The sequence below is a fragment of the Homo sapiens genome, chromosome 3 (genome assembly GCF_000001405.40).
Source record: "Homo sapiens chromosome 3, GRCh38.p14 Primary Assembly".
In the NCBI taxonomy this organism is placed as follows: Eukaryota; Metazoa; Chordata; class Mammalia; order Primates; family Hominidae; genus Homo; species Homo sapiens.
The window spans coordinates 42,768,902-42,782,198 of NC_000003.12; the positions used below are offsets into that span (position 1 = coordinate 42,768,902).

The window sequence follows — 13,297 nt, forward strand, 5'->3', positions numbered from 1 at the left end:
CTGAGGTGGGTGGATCACCTGAGGTTGGGAGTTCCAGACCAGTCTGGCCAACATGGTTAAACCCTGTGTCGACTAAAAATATAAAAATTAGCTGGGCGTGGTGGCAGGAGCCTGTAATCCCAGCTACTCAGGAGGCTGAGGCAGGAGAATTGCTTGAACCTGGGAGGTGGAGGTTGCAGTGAGCCGAGATCATGCCATTGCACTCCAGTCTGGGCAACAAGAGTGAAACGCCGTTTCAAAAAAAGAAAAAAAAGAAAAGTGGGCAAAAGATCTGAACAAACTCCTCAACAAAAAAGAAATATGGATGGCAAATAGACATATGAAAAGATGTTCAGCATCATATGTAATCAGGAAATTGCAAATTAAAACAAAAATGAGATACCATTACATACCTATTAGAATGGCTAGAATCCAAAACATTGACAACATCAAATGATGGCAAGAATGTGAAGCAACAAGAATTTCTATTTATTGCTGGTGGGGATGCAAAATGGAAAAGCCACTTTGCAAGACAATTGGGTAGTCTTTTTCAAAGCTAAACAGTCTTGCCATATGATCCAGTGATCATATTTACCTAAATGAGTTTAACAATATATCCACACAAAAACCTGCACATGAAATGTTCATAGTGAGAGGTGACAGCATGCTGGCAGCCCTCGCAGCCCTCGCTCACTCTGGGCACCTCCTCGGCCTTGGCGCCCACTCTGGCGGTGCTTGAGGAGCCCTTCAGCCTGCTGCTGCACTGTGGGAGACCCTCTCTGGGCTGGCCAAGGCCGGAGCTGGCTCCCTCAGCTTGCAGGCAGGTGTGGAGTGAGAGGTGCCGGTGAGAACTGGGGCTGCGCGCAGCGCTTGCCGGCCAGTGAGGGTTCTGGGTGGGTGTGGGCTCCGCAGGCCCACACTCCAAGCAGCCGGCTGGCCGCAAGCCCCTGGCAGTGAGGAGCTTAGCACCTGGGCCAGCAGCTGCTGTGCTCAATTTCTCACGGGGCCTTAGCTGCCTCCCCGCAGGGCAGGGCTGGGGACCGGCAGCCCGCCATGCCTGAGCCTCCCCCTGCCACCGTGGGCTCCTGCGCGCCCCAGCCTCCCCAACGAGCGCCACCCCCTGCTCCGCAGCACCTGGTCCCATCAAAAGCCCAAGGGCTGAGGAGTGCGGGCACACAGCGGGACTGGCCGGCACCTCCGCCTGGGGCCCTGGTGCAGGATCCACTGGGTGAACCTAGCTGGGCTCCTGAGTCTAGTGGGGACTTGGAGAACCTTTGTGTCTAGCTAAGGGATTGTGAGTGCACCAATCAGCACTCTGTATCTAGCTCAAGGTTTGTAAACACACCAATCAGCACCCTATGTCTAGCTCAGGGTTTGTGAATGCACCAATCGGCACTCTGTATCTAGCTAATCTGGTGGGGACTTTGAGAATCTTTATGTCTAGCTAAGGGATTGTGAATACACCAATCGGCACTCTGTATCTAGCTCAAGGTTTGTAAATGCACCAATTGACATTCTGTATCTAGTTGATCTAGTGGGGAAGTGGAAAACTTTTGTGTCTAGCTCAGCAATTGTAAATGCACCAATCAGCACCCTGTCAAAACGGACCAATCAGCTCTCTGTAAAACAGACCAATGGGCTCTCTGTAAAATGGACCAATCAGCAGGATGTGGGTGGGGCCAGATAAGAGAATAAAAGCAGGCTGCCCCAGGCAGCAGTGGCAACCTGCTGAGGTCCCCTTCCACACTGTTGAAGCTTTGTTCTTTTGCTCTTTGCACTAAATCTTGCTACTGCTCACTCTTTGGGTCCACACTGCTTTTATGAGCTGTAACACTCACCGTGAAGGTCTGCAGCTTCACTCCTGAAGCCAGCAAGACCACGAACCCACCAGGAGGAATGAACAACTCCAGACGCACCACCCTAAGAGCTGTAACACTCACCGCGAAGGTCTGCAGCTTCACTCCTGAGCCAGCGAGACCATGAACCCACCAAAAGGAAGAAACTCTGAACACATCTTGACATCAGAAGGAAGAAACAAACTCCAGACACGCCACCTTTAAGAACTGTAATAACACTCACCGCGAGGGTCTGCGGCTTTGTTCTTGAAGTCAGTGAGACCAAGAACCCACAATTCTGGACTCAATAACTTTATTCATAATTACCAAAAATGAGAAAAAAACAAGATGTACTTCAATAGGTGAGTAGATAACCTGGTACACTCATACCGGTGAATATTATTCAGTGATGAAAAGAAATGAGCTATCACGCCACGAAAAGACATGAAAGAAACCTAAATGTGTATTGTTAAGTGAAGAAGCCGGTCTGAAAAGGCTACATGCTGTATAATTGCAAACTGTATAATATTCTGAAAAAGGCAAAATTACAGAGAAGTAAAAGATACCAGTGATTGTAAATCCCTTCTAAATGAAAAATATCAGTGGTTTCCAGGGGTTGGTGGGAAGGAACAATGAACAGTAAAGCCTAGGGGGTTTTTGGGGAGGTGAAACTGTTCTGTATACTTTACTGGTGGATACACAGCATTACACATTTAGCAAAACTTGTAGACCTGTGCAACCTTAAGCAATGAACACTGGCCAGGTGTGATGACTCACACCTGTAATCTCAACACTCTACGAAGCCAAGGTGGGAGGACCACTTGAGGCCAGGAGTTTGAGACCAGCTTGGGCAACATAGCAAGACCATAGCTTTACAAAAAATAAAAAAATTAGCTGGGCATGGTGGCATGTGCCTGTGTTCCCAGTTACTCAGGAGGCTGAGGTGGGAGGATTGCTTGAGCCCAGGGGTTGGAGGCTACTGTGAGCCATGATCATGCCACCGCACTCCAGCCTGGGTGACAAAGTGAGACCCTGTCTCAATACAGCAGCAGCAACAACAACAACAGATGAACTCTAATGTAAACTATGGACTTTAGTTAGTAATAACATACCAGTATAGTTGTATCAATGATAACAAATGTACCACACCAATGCAATGTGTAAGATGTTAACAACAGAGGAAATGGGAATACGGAATACATAAAGGAACTGTTTTTTGTTTAATGCTTCTAAAAATCTGCTTTAAGTCTATTTTCTTTTAAAAGTAAAGGCTAAGCCGGGCGTGGTGGCTCATGCGTGTAATCCCAAAACTTTGGGAGGCTGAGGTGGGTGGATCACCTGAGGTCAGGAGTTTGAGACCAGCCTGGCCAACATGGTGAAACCCCATCTCTACTAAAAATACCAAAATTAGCCAGGCATGGTGGCGGGCGCCTGTAATCCCAGCTACTCGAGCCCAAGGCAGGAGAATCGCTTGAACCTGGGAGGCAGAGGTTGCAATGAGCCAAGATCGCGCTACTGCACTCCAGCCTGGGCGATAGAGCGAGACTCCGTCAAAAAAAAAAAAAAAAAAAAAAAGTAATAATAAAAAAAATAAAGTAAAGGCTAGAGCTGCATGGAAAGAACTCTTGGCTCAGGTAGGACTTAGAGCCAGGGAGTAGGAAGAGTGGCATGCACTCTGGAGTCCTATGAGGAAGCAAGATCCCACAGGATATGGGACCATAGGTGACAGGGACCAGTGAGGAAGGATTGAGACCCCTTGCCCCATCGGCCTGCCACTTTTTTCATTGTTTTTCTCTTCCCCTCTCCTTCTCTTTCTTCTTTTCTTTTACTGTGTTCTTTTCGAGTATTCTCAACAACAGTCTAGGGGCCTGGAGGTGTGGGGAGGCCGCCCACGGATGCCTAGTTTGGCGCTCTGTGCACTGCTAGCATCTTCGTAGGGATGGGTTTGGGATGGGAGCGGGGTGATGCTCTGGTTCTCAGGGCTGGACTCCGGGCTTGGAGGGGAACTCCCTCTTGCGAGTCCCCAGTCCTGTGGGGGCTGGGCCTGGAAGGGGAACTGGGAGATGCGGAAGTGCACGCCGTCGGGTCGCATCTTTCAGTGCGGTGCGAGAGGGCCCAGTGGCAGAGGCCCAGCAAACAGCGCTTGTCAGGCGGACCTGAGTTCGAGTTCTGACTGTGCCATCTACGCTATGACTTTGGGGCAGGCGACCCACCCTCTGCGCCTCATTAACCCATGTACTGCATGGAAAATAAGCGTCTGCCTGGGTTAGAAGAGGGCTGTGTGTGAAGATTCAAAGGACGAAGGGGAAGAGTCCTCGCTGGGCGCCCAGCACGCGGTGAGCGCCCGGCCAGTGGCAGCGCGCTCGGGCTGGGGTTGCGCTCGGGCTCGGTTCCGCGCCCCCGGCAGCTGCGGGCTTTCCCAGCTCCGGCCCGGGCCCTTCCGCTCTCCCCGGCACTTACAGCGGTCTCTCTCCACTTCTCCCTTCTAGGACCGCGGCGGCTAGGTCACCTCCTCCGGACGCCGACACGCGCTGCCCTGGCAACCGTCACCAGGGAAACAAGCGACGTCACTTGCGCGTTTTCAACGCTACTCTACGGGGGCCGAGGGGGCGCCAAGAGTTCTGAAAGTGACAGAGGCGCTGATGGCGCGCTGGGCTGGATCCAAGCGAGCACGATCTCGAGTGCGCTGGAGATTTTAAATCTTCTGGAGTATATTTTTAAAAAAGTTTTGTGGACCAAACGTTCTGCACAGAGATGCCCATTCCGCTCTCCTGTTGGGGAGTTAAAAAGCGAACGATCTCACCATGAAATTTAAAGTAGCCATTCAGATATATTTGAAAAATGTAAAACAGTGTGGGGAAAGGCCATGTTATGATGGTGAGTGAAGGAAGCAGGACGCAATATAGCAATGCTAAATAAATAAAGTTGTGTTTATTTCAAACTAGGCACTAAAACAAGACCGAAATAGAAATATTAAAAGTGGTTATATTTGGGTGGTGGAATAGCAGTGCTGTGTTTTTATTTTTACACTTTAGAGAATTTTTAAAATAATGAACATCGTTTATTTTCATAAAGGAAAATACTTGTTTTTTTTTTTTTAAATGGCACCTTCCAATGTAAGACACTACTATATTTCAGGGCAATATGGGGGTGGGAGGCAAATTTCTAGGAAAGATGATTCAAGGGAGATTTCTTTCTATCTATCTATCTATCTAATCTATCTATCTATCTATGATAGAGTCTCGCTGTGTCGCCCAGGCTGGAGTGCAGTGGTGCGATCTCAGCTCATTGCAACCTCCATTTCCCAGGTTCAAGCGATTCTCCTGCCTCAGCCTCCTGAGTAGCTGGGATTACAGGCACCCGCCACCACACCTGGCTAATTTTTTTATTTTTAGTGGAGACGGGGTTTCACCATGTTGACCAGGCTGGTCTTGAACTCCTGACCTCAGGTGATCCGCCCACCTTGGCCTCCTAAAGTGCCGGGATTACAGGCGTGAGCCACAGCTCCTGCCCAAATATTTATCCAGGACTTCATAATTTGAAAACCTTGGCAGTTGTTTTTCTATTTTTTTTCCTCATAAGGTGAATGAATACCCATCCCATAGACATGCATACATAAGATACGGCACTAGACTGCCATCAGCACTGCAGGTATAAACCCGAAGTTTCCTGATAAAGGAAAAATGGATCTTTCCCGTTGGTCTCCAATTGCTGCCTGGTGAGCTGAGGGTGGGAGACGTATAATATACAGGTGGCAGCAAAGAGAGACAGGATAAAGAGTAGGATTCAGGTAGATGTGAGCCTCAAAGGATTAGGGTTTTTTTTAAATGGTGTGTGTAGTGGGGAGTATCATTCGTTTGCCTCATGACCACGATGGGACTATGTGGCATAGGAAAAGGAATAGCCAGGTCTACTTAGAGGGCTTCTGGAAAGCATGGATCCTAGCAGAAAGCCAGGTTTTCATTAAAATAAGAACATGCTGTGAGAAAATTAAGGATGCAAGAGAATTTCAGAACCGACATTCTAGAATGTATGTATTAGAAAGTTTGGGAAAGGGGTAACATTTGCTCCAGCAATCCAAGGATTATTTTTGACGAGGATATCATTTTTGCAGTAACCCATTTTTTAAAAAGCAGGGATGATTTTCCTCTAGGTTTGTTACTTTTCCACGGTCACCACTAAGGCTCTCATGCCATTTTTTTTTTCTGCCCAAAATTCTTTTGAGAATTTTCTTTAGTTTATAAGCTTGACATTTTATCATCCAAGAAGCTGGCGAATCCAATCTGGGTCACCAGTATTTCCTCATGTACAGTATACAGATGTTTGTTAATTCCAGCCCACTTTGTTTCTCTAGCCAGAAGTATCTGTAGGACACTGCCCTTTGTTTTTTGCTTTTTAATTTGAAATTATATTGAGATTTTTATAGAATCACATGCAGTTGTAAAAAATAATAGAGATCCCCTGTATACTTTTCCAGTTCTCCACAATGATATTTTGCAGAACTTTAGTATAATATTACAACCAGGATATTGACATCGATACAACCTACTCCTCTTAGATTTCTCCAATTTAACTGTACTTTTCTTTTGATTTATCACGTGTCAGTTTGTGTATCCATGACCATCAAGATATCAAATACTAGCCGGGCATGGTGACTCATGCACGCCTATAATCCCAGCATTTTGGGATGCTGAGGCAGGCAGATCACTTGAGGCCAGGAGTTCAAGACCAGCCTGGTCAACATGGCAAAATCCTATATCTACTAAAAATAACAAAAATTAGCCAGGCATAGTGGTGCTTGCCTGTAATCCCAGCTACTTGGGAGGCTGAGGCATGAGAATCGCTTGAACTCAGGAAGTGGAGGTTGCAGTGAGCTGAGATCGCGCCATTACACTCCAGCCTGGGCGACAAGAGTGAGACTCTGTCTCAAAAAAAAAAAAAGATACCAAATACTATCACAAGGATCTCTCTGTTGTGATTTTATGACTATGTACACTTCCCTCCCTCCTCCTGCCCTAGTCCCTAACCCTTTACAACCACCAGTCTGCCCTCCATTTCTAAAATTTTGTCATTTCAAAAATGTTATATAAATGAAATAACTCAGCATGTACACTTTTTAGGATGGATTTTTTTTTTTTTTTACTCAGAACAATTCCTTGGAGATTCATCCAAGTTGTTGTGTGTATCAATAATCCATTCCTTTTTATTGCTGAGTAGTTCTAGTATGAATGTACCAGTTTGTTTAACCATTTACCCACTGAAAGACATCTGGGTTGTTTCCAGTTAGGAGCAATTATGATTCAGCTGCTATAAACATTCATGTATAGGTTTTTGTGTGAACATAAGTTTTCATTCCTATGGAATAAATGCCCAAGAGTGCAATTGCTGTGTAGTATGGTAACTGCATATCTAGTTTTAGAAGAAATTGCCAAACCTGTTTTCCAGAGTGACTGTTCCACTTTACATTCTTACCAGAAATGTTTAAGTGACACAGTTTCTTCACATCCTTGCCAGCATTTGATGTCACTATTTTTATTTTAGTCATTTTAATAGGTGTGTAGTGATATCATTGTGGTTCTAATGTACGTGACGGATAATGATATTGAACATCTTTTTCATGTGCTTATTTGTCATCTGTATATTTTCTTTGGTGAAGTGTCTGTTCATGTCTTTTGCCCAATTTCTAACTGTCGAGTTTTGAGAATTCTTTATATATTCTATATACTAGTCCGTTGTTGGATACGTAGTTTGCAAATACTTTCTCCGAATCTGTAGTTCATCTTTTAATCCTCTTCACTTGGGCTTTCACAGAACAAAAGGCTTTGATTTTGACAAGGTCCAATTTATCAATTCCTTCTTTAATGGATTGTGCTTTTGATTTCAAGTCTAAGAAAGAACTCTTTGCCTAGCCCTGGGTCCCAAAGATTTCCCCCCATTTTTATAAAAGTGTTAGAGTTTTATGCCCATGATTTATTTTGATGTAATTTTTATATAAAGGTATGAAATTTAGATCAAGGTTCTTTTTTGCTTTTTTGCCTATGGTGTCCAGTTGTTCCAGCACCATTTGTTGGAAAGCTATGCTTCCTCCATTGAATTGCTTTTGCACCTTTGTCAAAAATCAGGTTAGCTATCTCAACAACAAAACCCAATTCAAAAATGGGCAAAGGACTTCAATAGACATTAATCCAAAGAAGATATACAAATGGCAAATAAGCACATGAAAACATGCCCAACATCACTAACCATTAGAGAAATGCAAACCAAAACCACGAGATACCATTTCACACCCATTAGGATGGATATTATCCAAAAAATGGAAAATAACAAGTGTTTGCCAGGATGTGAAGAATTTGGAACCCTTATGTAGAGCTAGTGGGAATGTAAAATGGTATATCCACTGTAGAAAACAGTTTGGTGGTTCCTCAAAAAGTTAAACATTGAATTACCGTATGATTTACAATTCCACTTCTAAATATATGCCCGAAAGATTTGAAAGAAGGGACTTGGCCAGACACAGTGTCTCATGCCTGTAATCCCAGCCCTTTGGGAGGCTGAGGTAGAGGACTGCTTGAGGCCAGGAACTCGAGACCAGCCTGGTCACCATAGCGAGACCTTGTCTCTACAAAAAAAGTAATAATAAAAAATAAAGAAGGGACTCAAACAGGTAATTGTATGCCAGTGTTCATAGCAGCATTATTCACGATAGCCAGAAGGTAGAAACAACCCAAGCAACCTTCAACAGATGAATGAGTAAACAAAAGGTGGTATATATACTCCACAGAATATTCAGCCTTAGAAAAGAATGAAATTCTGAATTCTGGATGAACCTTGAAAACATTATGCTAAGTGAAATAAGCCAGACACAAAATGGCAAATATTGTACGATTCCATGTATATTAGGTACCTAGAATGAACAAATTCATAGAGACAGAAAGTAGAATAGAGGATGCTAGGGAGTGGAAGAACGGGGCAAGTAGAGAGGTTTGGGGGTTTTTGTTTGTTTTTGAGACAGGGTCTCGCTCTATCGCCCAGGCTGGAATGCAGTCGTGCAATGACAGCTCACTACAGCCTCAACCACCTGGGCTCAGGTTATCTTCCCACCTTAGCATCCCAAGTAGTTGGGACCACAGGCTCGCACCACCACACCGAGCTAATTTTTGTATTTTTTGTAGAGATGGTGTTTCGCCATGTTGCCCAGGTTGATCTCGAACTCCTGGGCTCAAGCGATCTGCCTTGACCTCCCAAAGTGCTAGGATTATAGGTGTGAGCCACCACATCCAACCAGAAGTTATTCTTAAAGGGCATGGAGTTTCTGTTTGGGCTGATGAAAAGACTTTAGAGGTGGATGGTGGTGATGGTTACATAGCATTTTGAATATACTTAGTTCCACTGTATTGTACACTTAAAAATGGTTAAAATGGTAATTTTTATATGTATATTTACCACAATAAAGGTTTTAAAAATCAGCTGTGCATACTTGTGTGGGTGTAATGGCTTTTTTTCCTAATCCCTAAATTAGGTTCTCCCCACAGTTCCATGTAGTTCCAACTTTAAAGTGGGACTTTTACCCATGCTTATTTATCTTAATGATAATAGTCACCAAATATATTTCCCATCACTGAAATTCTCTCTCCCACCAATAAGTAAACATAACATAAACAGTGGCCCTACTCTTACTATGAGAAACAAAAATGAATTGAACAAAGTCAGAAGTGGGAATACCTGAGTTTTGACCTCATTAGTCAAGTCACAAACCTCAACTTTCTTCTTAAAACGGTAATAGTACCTTTATTATCATGATAATCAAATAGGTCATGAAAGTGCTTTGTAAAATGTGAAATTCTCTTCAGTTATCTTTATTATTTTAGTAGTCACATATATTAATTACTACAGATTTAGCTGTTTTGCCTGGTAATGGAAGTAAGTTCTGCTACAGCTTAAAACCAAGGCCTCATTTGGCTCTCTCCATTTCACAGCTCTCATTCTAGACCTCAGCTTTGCAGGCCCCAAATCCAATTTAGTTATTATACCATGAGTATCTCTTGGGGCTAGACTTACACCAGTCACGTGTAACTGACATACAAACCAGGAACACTAAGTCTCTCGTTTATATCTGTGGGTTGTGACCCATGTCCAGAGACTCTCCCTTCCCAGCATCAGGCACCCACAAAGCCAAAAGAGTCATCAGAAAGATATTGTGAGCATGGATTCAGAACAAACAGAAACAAACTGCCTAGAGGGTATTTTTGGCCCAGGGTTAAGCCTTATTAAATTATTCCACTTCACAATCAGGAGCCCTACATAGATAAAAATTGTTCATTTTCTACAAAAAATTAGCCGGGCGTAGTGGCGGGCGCCTGTAGTCCCAGCTACTTGGGAGGCTGAGGCAGGAGAATGGCGTGAACCCGGGAGGCGGAGCTTGCAGTGAGCCGAGATCCCGCCACTGCACTCCAGCCTGGGCGACAGAGCGAGACTCGGTCTCAAAAAAAAAAAAAAAAAAAAAATTGTTCATTTTCTCCAGGTTCAAGCCCCTTTGTGCTGGAAGTTCTGCCTGTACAACTTGCCATGGATTTGGGCTTTGGTAGCTACTAGCCTCCCAGAGTCCTCCAGCACATTTTGTGTTTAGCTTAACACCATTTGGCTACAGTCAATCTTATTTTATCCACGGAACTATTTTGTCTAAGATGTGTTTGTATAGATGTGGTCCCACTCATCATATGTTGACTTTATTAGAAAACTCAATGTTCTGCCAAGATTCGTCAATCCTTAGCTCCAAGGGACCTCTCTGATAGATGAGATCTACCCTGGCTCTCCACCAAGCCTTCAGCACAAGGTTGCTAATATATTTATTTTATCCTCAAATTTCTCATTTCCATTCTTGGCTCACATCATAGTCTTTCAAAACATTTGGGTGAGTCACCTGATCCTAGTAATTATTCATTTCTCTCATTAACTAGGTCCGCAATGCCTTGTGCACTTAATAGTATTTAATTTACCACTTCCACAGTAAAGACCATTTGTATGTGGGAATCTCTTCAGCTTCCTTTCTATAAAGGCTGAAACAATTAGCTAGGTGTGGTGGTGTGCACCTATAGTTCCAGCTACTCAGGAGGCTGAGGCAGAATTGCTTGAGCTCAGGAGACAGAGCTGCAGTGAGTTATGATCATGCCACTGCACTCCAGCCTGGGCGACAGAGCAAGACCCAGTCTCAATTAAAAAACACATATATATAAGCCAGGCACAGTGGCTCATGCCTGTAACCCCAGCACTTTGGGAGGCTGAGGCAGGCAGATCACTTGGGCTCAGGAGGTTGAGACCAGCCTGACCAACATGGTGAAATCCCATCTCTACAAAAAATACAAATATCAGCTGGGTGTGGCGGCCCATGCCCGTAGTCCAACTACCTGGGGAGCTGTGGTGGGAAGATCACTTGAGCCCAGGAGGTTTGAGCTCAGGGGATGACAGCGGGAGATGGGGTTATCATTGACAGAAATGAGTGAGCTAGGAAGAGGCACTGTGGGGAAGACAACAGATAGGGTTGTAGACAAGGTGAGATTAGGTAAGGACCATAACTCAAAGATGTGATGGCAAAATTTTAGTCAGTCCTAACACTTCAGAGTTGCATTCAGGATAGGAAAAGACCTAACACCAACGTTGTAAGAAGCTCAGAATACTACTGCAAGGACCTGTTCTTAGGTTTCTCTGAGGGGATCAACTGGACACCGGCCTCCACCGTAGACTCACTTATTACTGCTGAATTCAGGGGGAAATTTTTCTAACTTTTGTCTTGCTACAAACAAATTCTTTCTTTTGCTTCGTTCAGTGACTAAGGGGGAAGTAGGCAAGGAAACTAGATTGTATGAGCAGTGTTAGTTCTTCCATGAACTCATATCAGGTAAATCATTCACTGATAAAAGTAGCAAACCAGTCAGGGTGCATGTCCCAGCTGCCTCTCTCAAATTTCCCTATTCTATTCAAACAGCTTTCAAATGGGACCAAGTGTATAAATAATATTTGGCAGTTCCACTCTGACATGAGAACTTTAAAATACTTTATGTTCATTCAGTGTTGTTCTGGTCTGGTAGTTATGATGTGATAAAACTATAGATGTACATGGGGATACAACCTAAATTTCAAGTCCCTGAAACTGAGCAGCAGTTCCTCATCTCTGAGGCAAGAGACATGGCCTACATGACCAATACTCCTTCCACTCCAAAAATCTGTCTGTGATTCAGAAGTCGAGTGTTATTTAGGGGGCTTTTAAGTGTGGAGTCAAATTCCAACTCTTACCACCAGATGTCACTGTTGTTCAGTAACTAGAAATACATACCTTCTAGGGACAGTAGGATCCTGAATGTAGAAGCCCCAAACCTTTTAATTCTAATTAATTCAACAAACGCTGAACACTTATGTGTGCCACGTGCTTTGGATGAGAAAGGCCATCATGCCCTCAGACAACTGGAGGAGAGGCATGGAAGCAATCACACACACCAACACTCCAATAACATCCAACATTAAGCCATGGACTCTAACTCTCAATGAAAAATCAACATACTATCTCCGTAAAGTAGAACATTGTTTCCTCAGGGAGAATTTCTCCAACCCCAACCCTGGGTTAGGTTCCCCCAGCCGGATGTTCCTGTTGCATCCTCTACCTAATAATTATCATCCTTTATTGTGTTGGGACTCAGAAACAAATACCCCAAAATACGATGCTTTGACATGCTGGACTGAAGATGCAGCCTCAAGGTCTCTCTGACCTCCTACCCCCTCCCCGCCATGAAGCTGTTCTGTGAAGTTTCCTTATCTGCTTAAAGTCTAGACCTGCCAAAGGCGGGGGGAAAATTACTCCTGGTCCTTTCCGTTTTTTGTTTTTTTTTTTTTTTGAGATGGAGTCTCGCTCTGTTGCTCAAACTGGAGTGCAGTGGCGTGATCTCCTAGGTTCAAGCAATTCTCCCACCTCAGCCTCATGAGTAGCTGGGACTACAGGTGCATGCCACCATGCCCGGCTAATTTTTGTATTTTTTTTAGTAGAGAGGGGGTTTCACCATGTTGGCCAGGCTGGTCTCAAACTCCTGACCTCAAGTGATCCGCCTGCCTCGGCCTCCCGAAGTGCTGGGATTACAGGTGTGAGCCACTGCACCGGCACGGAGTTTTCATTAGTTTAATTCATATTGCAGGAAGAGAGACAAATCTGTCAACATATCTGGACAGACTTGTCACAAACTATTATCTGCCCTGTAGGCCAAACAGACTTTGTCTTAGGCCATCGTATGTTCTTTAAGTCCACTGAATCCCCCTAAAAATAACTCATTATCCCTCAAATTGCCACATTTCCTCCATCTCCCCTTCCCCTATGAAGAAGGATATATAAACATCTGTACCCTATTGGGTTACTGAGTAGTCATTATGCCATTCCCCTGTGATATACACATTAAAATAATTGCATGTTTTTTCTCCTAATAATCTGCCTTTTGTCAGTT

At 44.3% G+C, this 13,297-nt stretch overlaps 1 protein-coding gene and 1 long non-coding RNA gene across 8 annotated transcripts in view, besides 2 other annotated features; one reads left to right on the forward strand and one right to left on the reverse strand.

Annotated features, from left to right (window-relative positions):
• CCDC13 (coiled-coil domain containing 13) overlaps nucleotides 1-4,352 on the reverse strand; it is a 69,136-nt gene extending 64,784 nt beyond the window's left edge. For all 7 annotated transcript variants that reach the window (XR_940385.1, XM_011533418.3, XM_005264898.4 and 4 more), the window contains exon 1: nucleotides 4,275-4,352. The gene's annotated coding sequence lies outside the window, so the exon portion shown is untranslated. The remainder of the gene's footprint in view (nucleotides 1-4,274) is intronic.
• CCDC13-AS2 (CCDC13 antisense RNA 2) lies at nucleotides 1,711-4,734 on the forward strand. Its single transcript, NR_122070.1, has 2 exons — nucleotides 1,711-2,176; nucleotides 4,304-4,734. It is a non-coding gene; the product is annotated as a CCDC13 antisense RNA 2 (long non-coding RNA).
• Nucleotides 4,073-4,232: a silencer, noted in NCBI's record as "silent region_14250". NCBI's record gives its function as "represses an Ori minimal core promoter by ATAC-STARR-seq in GM12878 lymphoblastoid cells {active_cell/tissue: GM12878}" and the evidence as "EXISTENCE:reporter gene assay evidence [ECO:0000049][PMID:35858748]".
• Nucleotides 4,363-4,532: an enhancer, noted in NCBI's record as "active region_19750". NCBI's record gives its function as "activates an Ori minimal core promoter by ATAC-STARR-seq in GM12878 lymphoblastoid cells {active_cell/tissue: GM12878}" and the evidence as "EXISTENCE:reporter gene assay evidence [ECO:0000049][PMID:35858748]".
• Nucleotides 4,735-13,297: the final 8,563 nt, after the last annotated feature.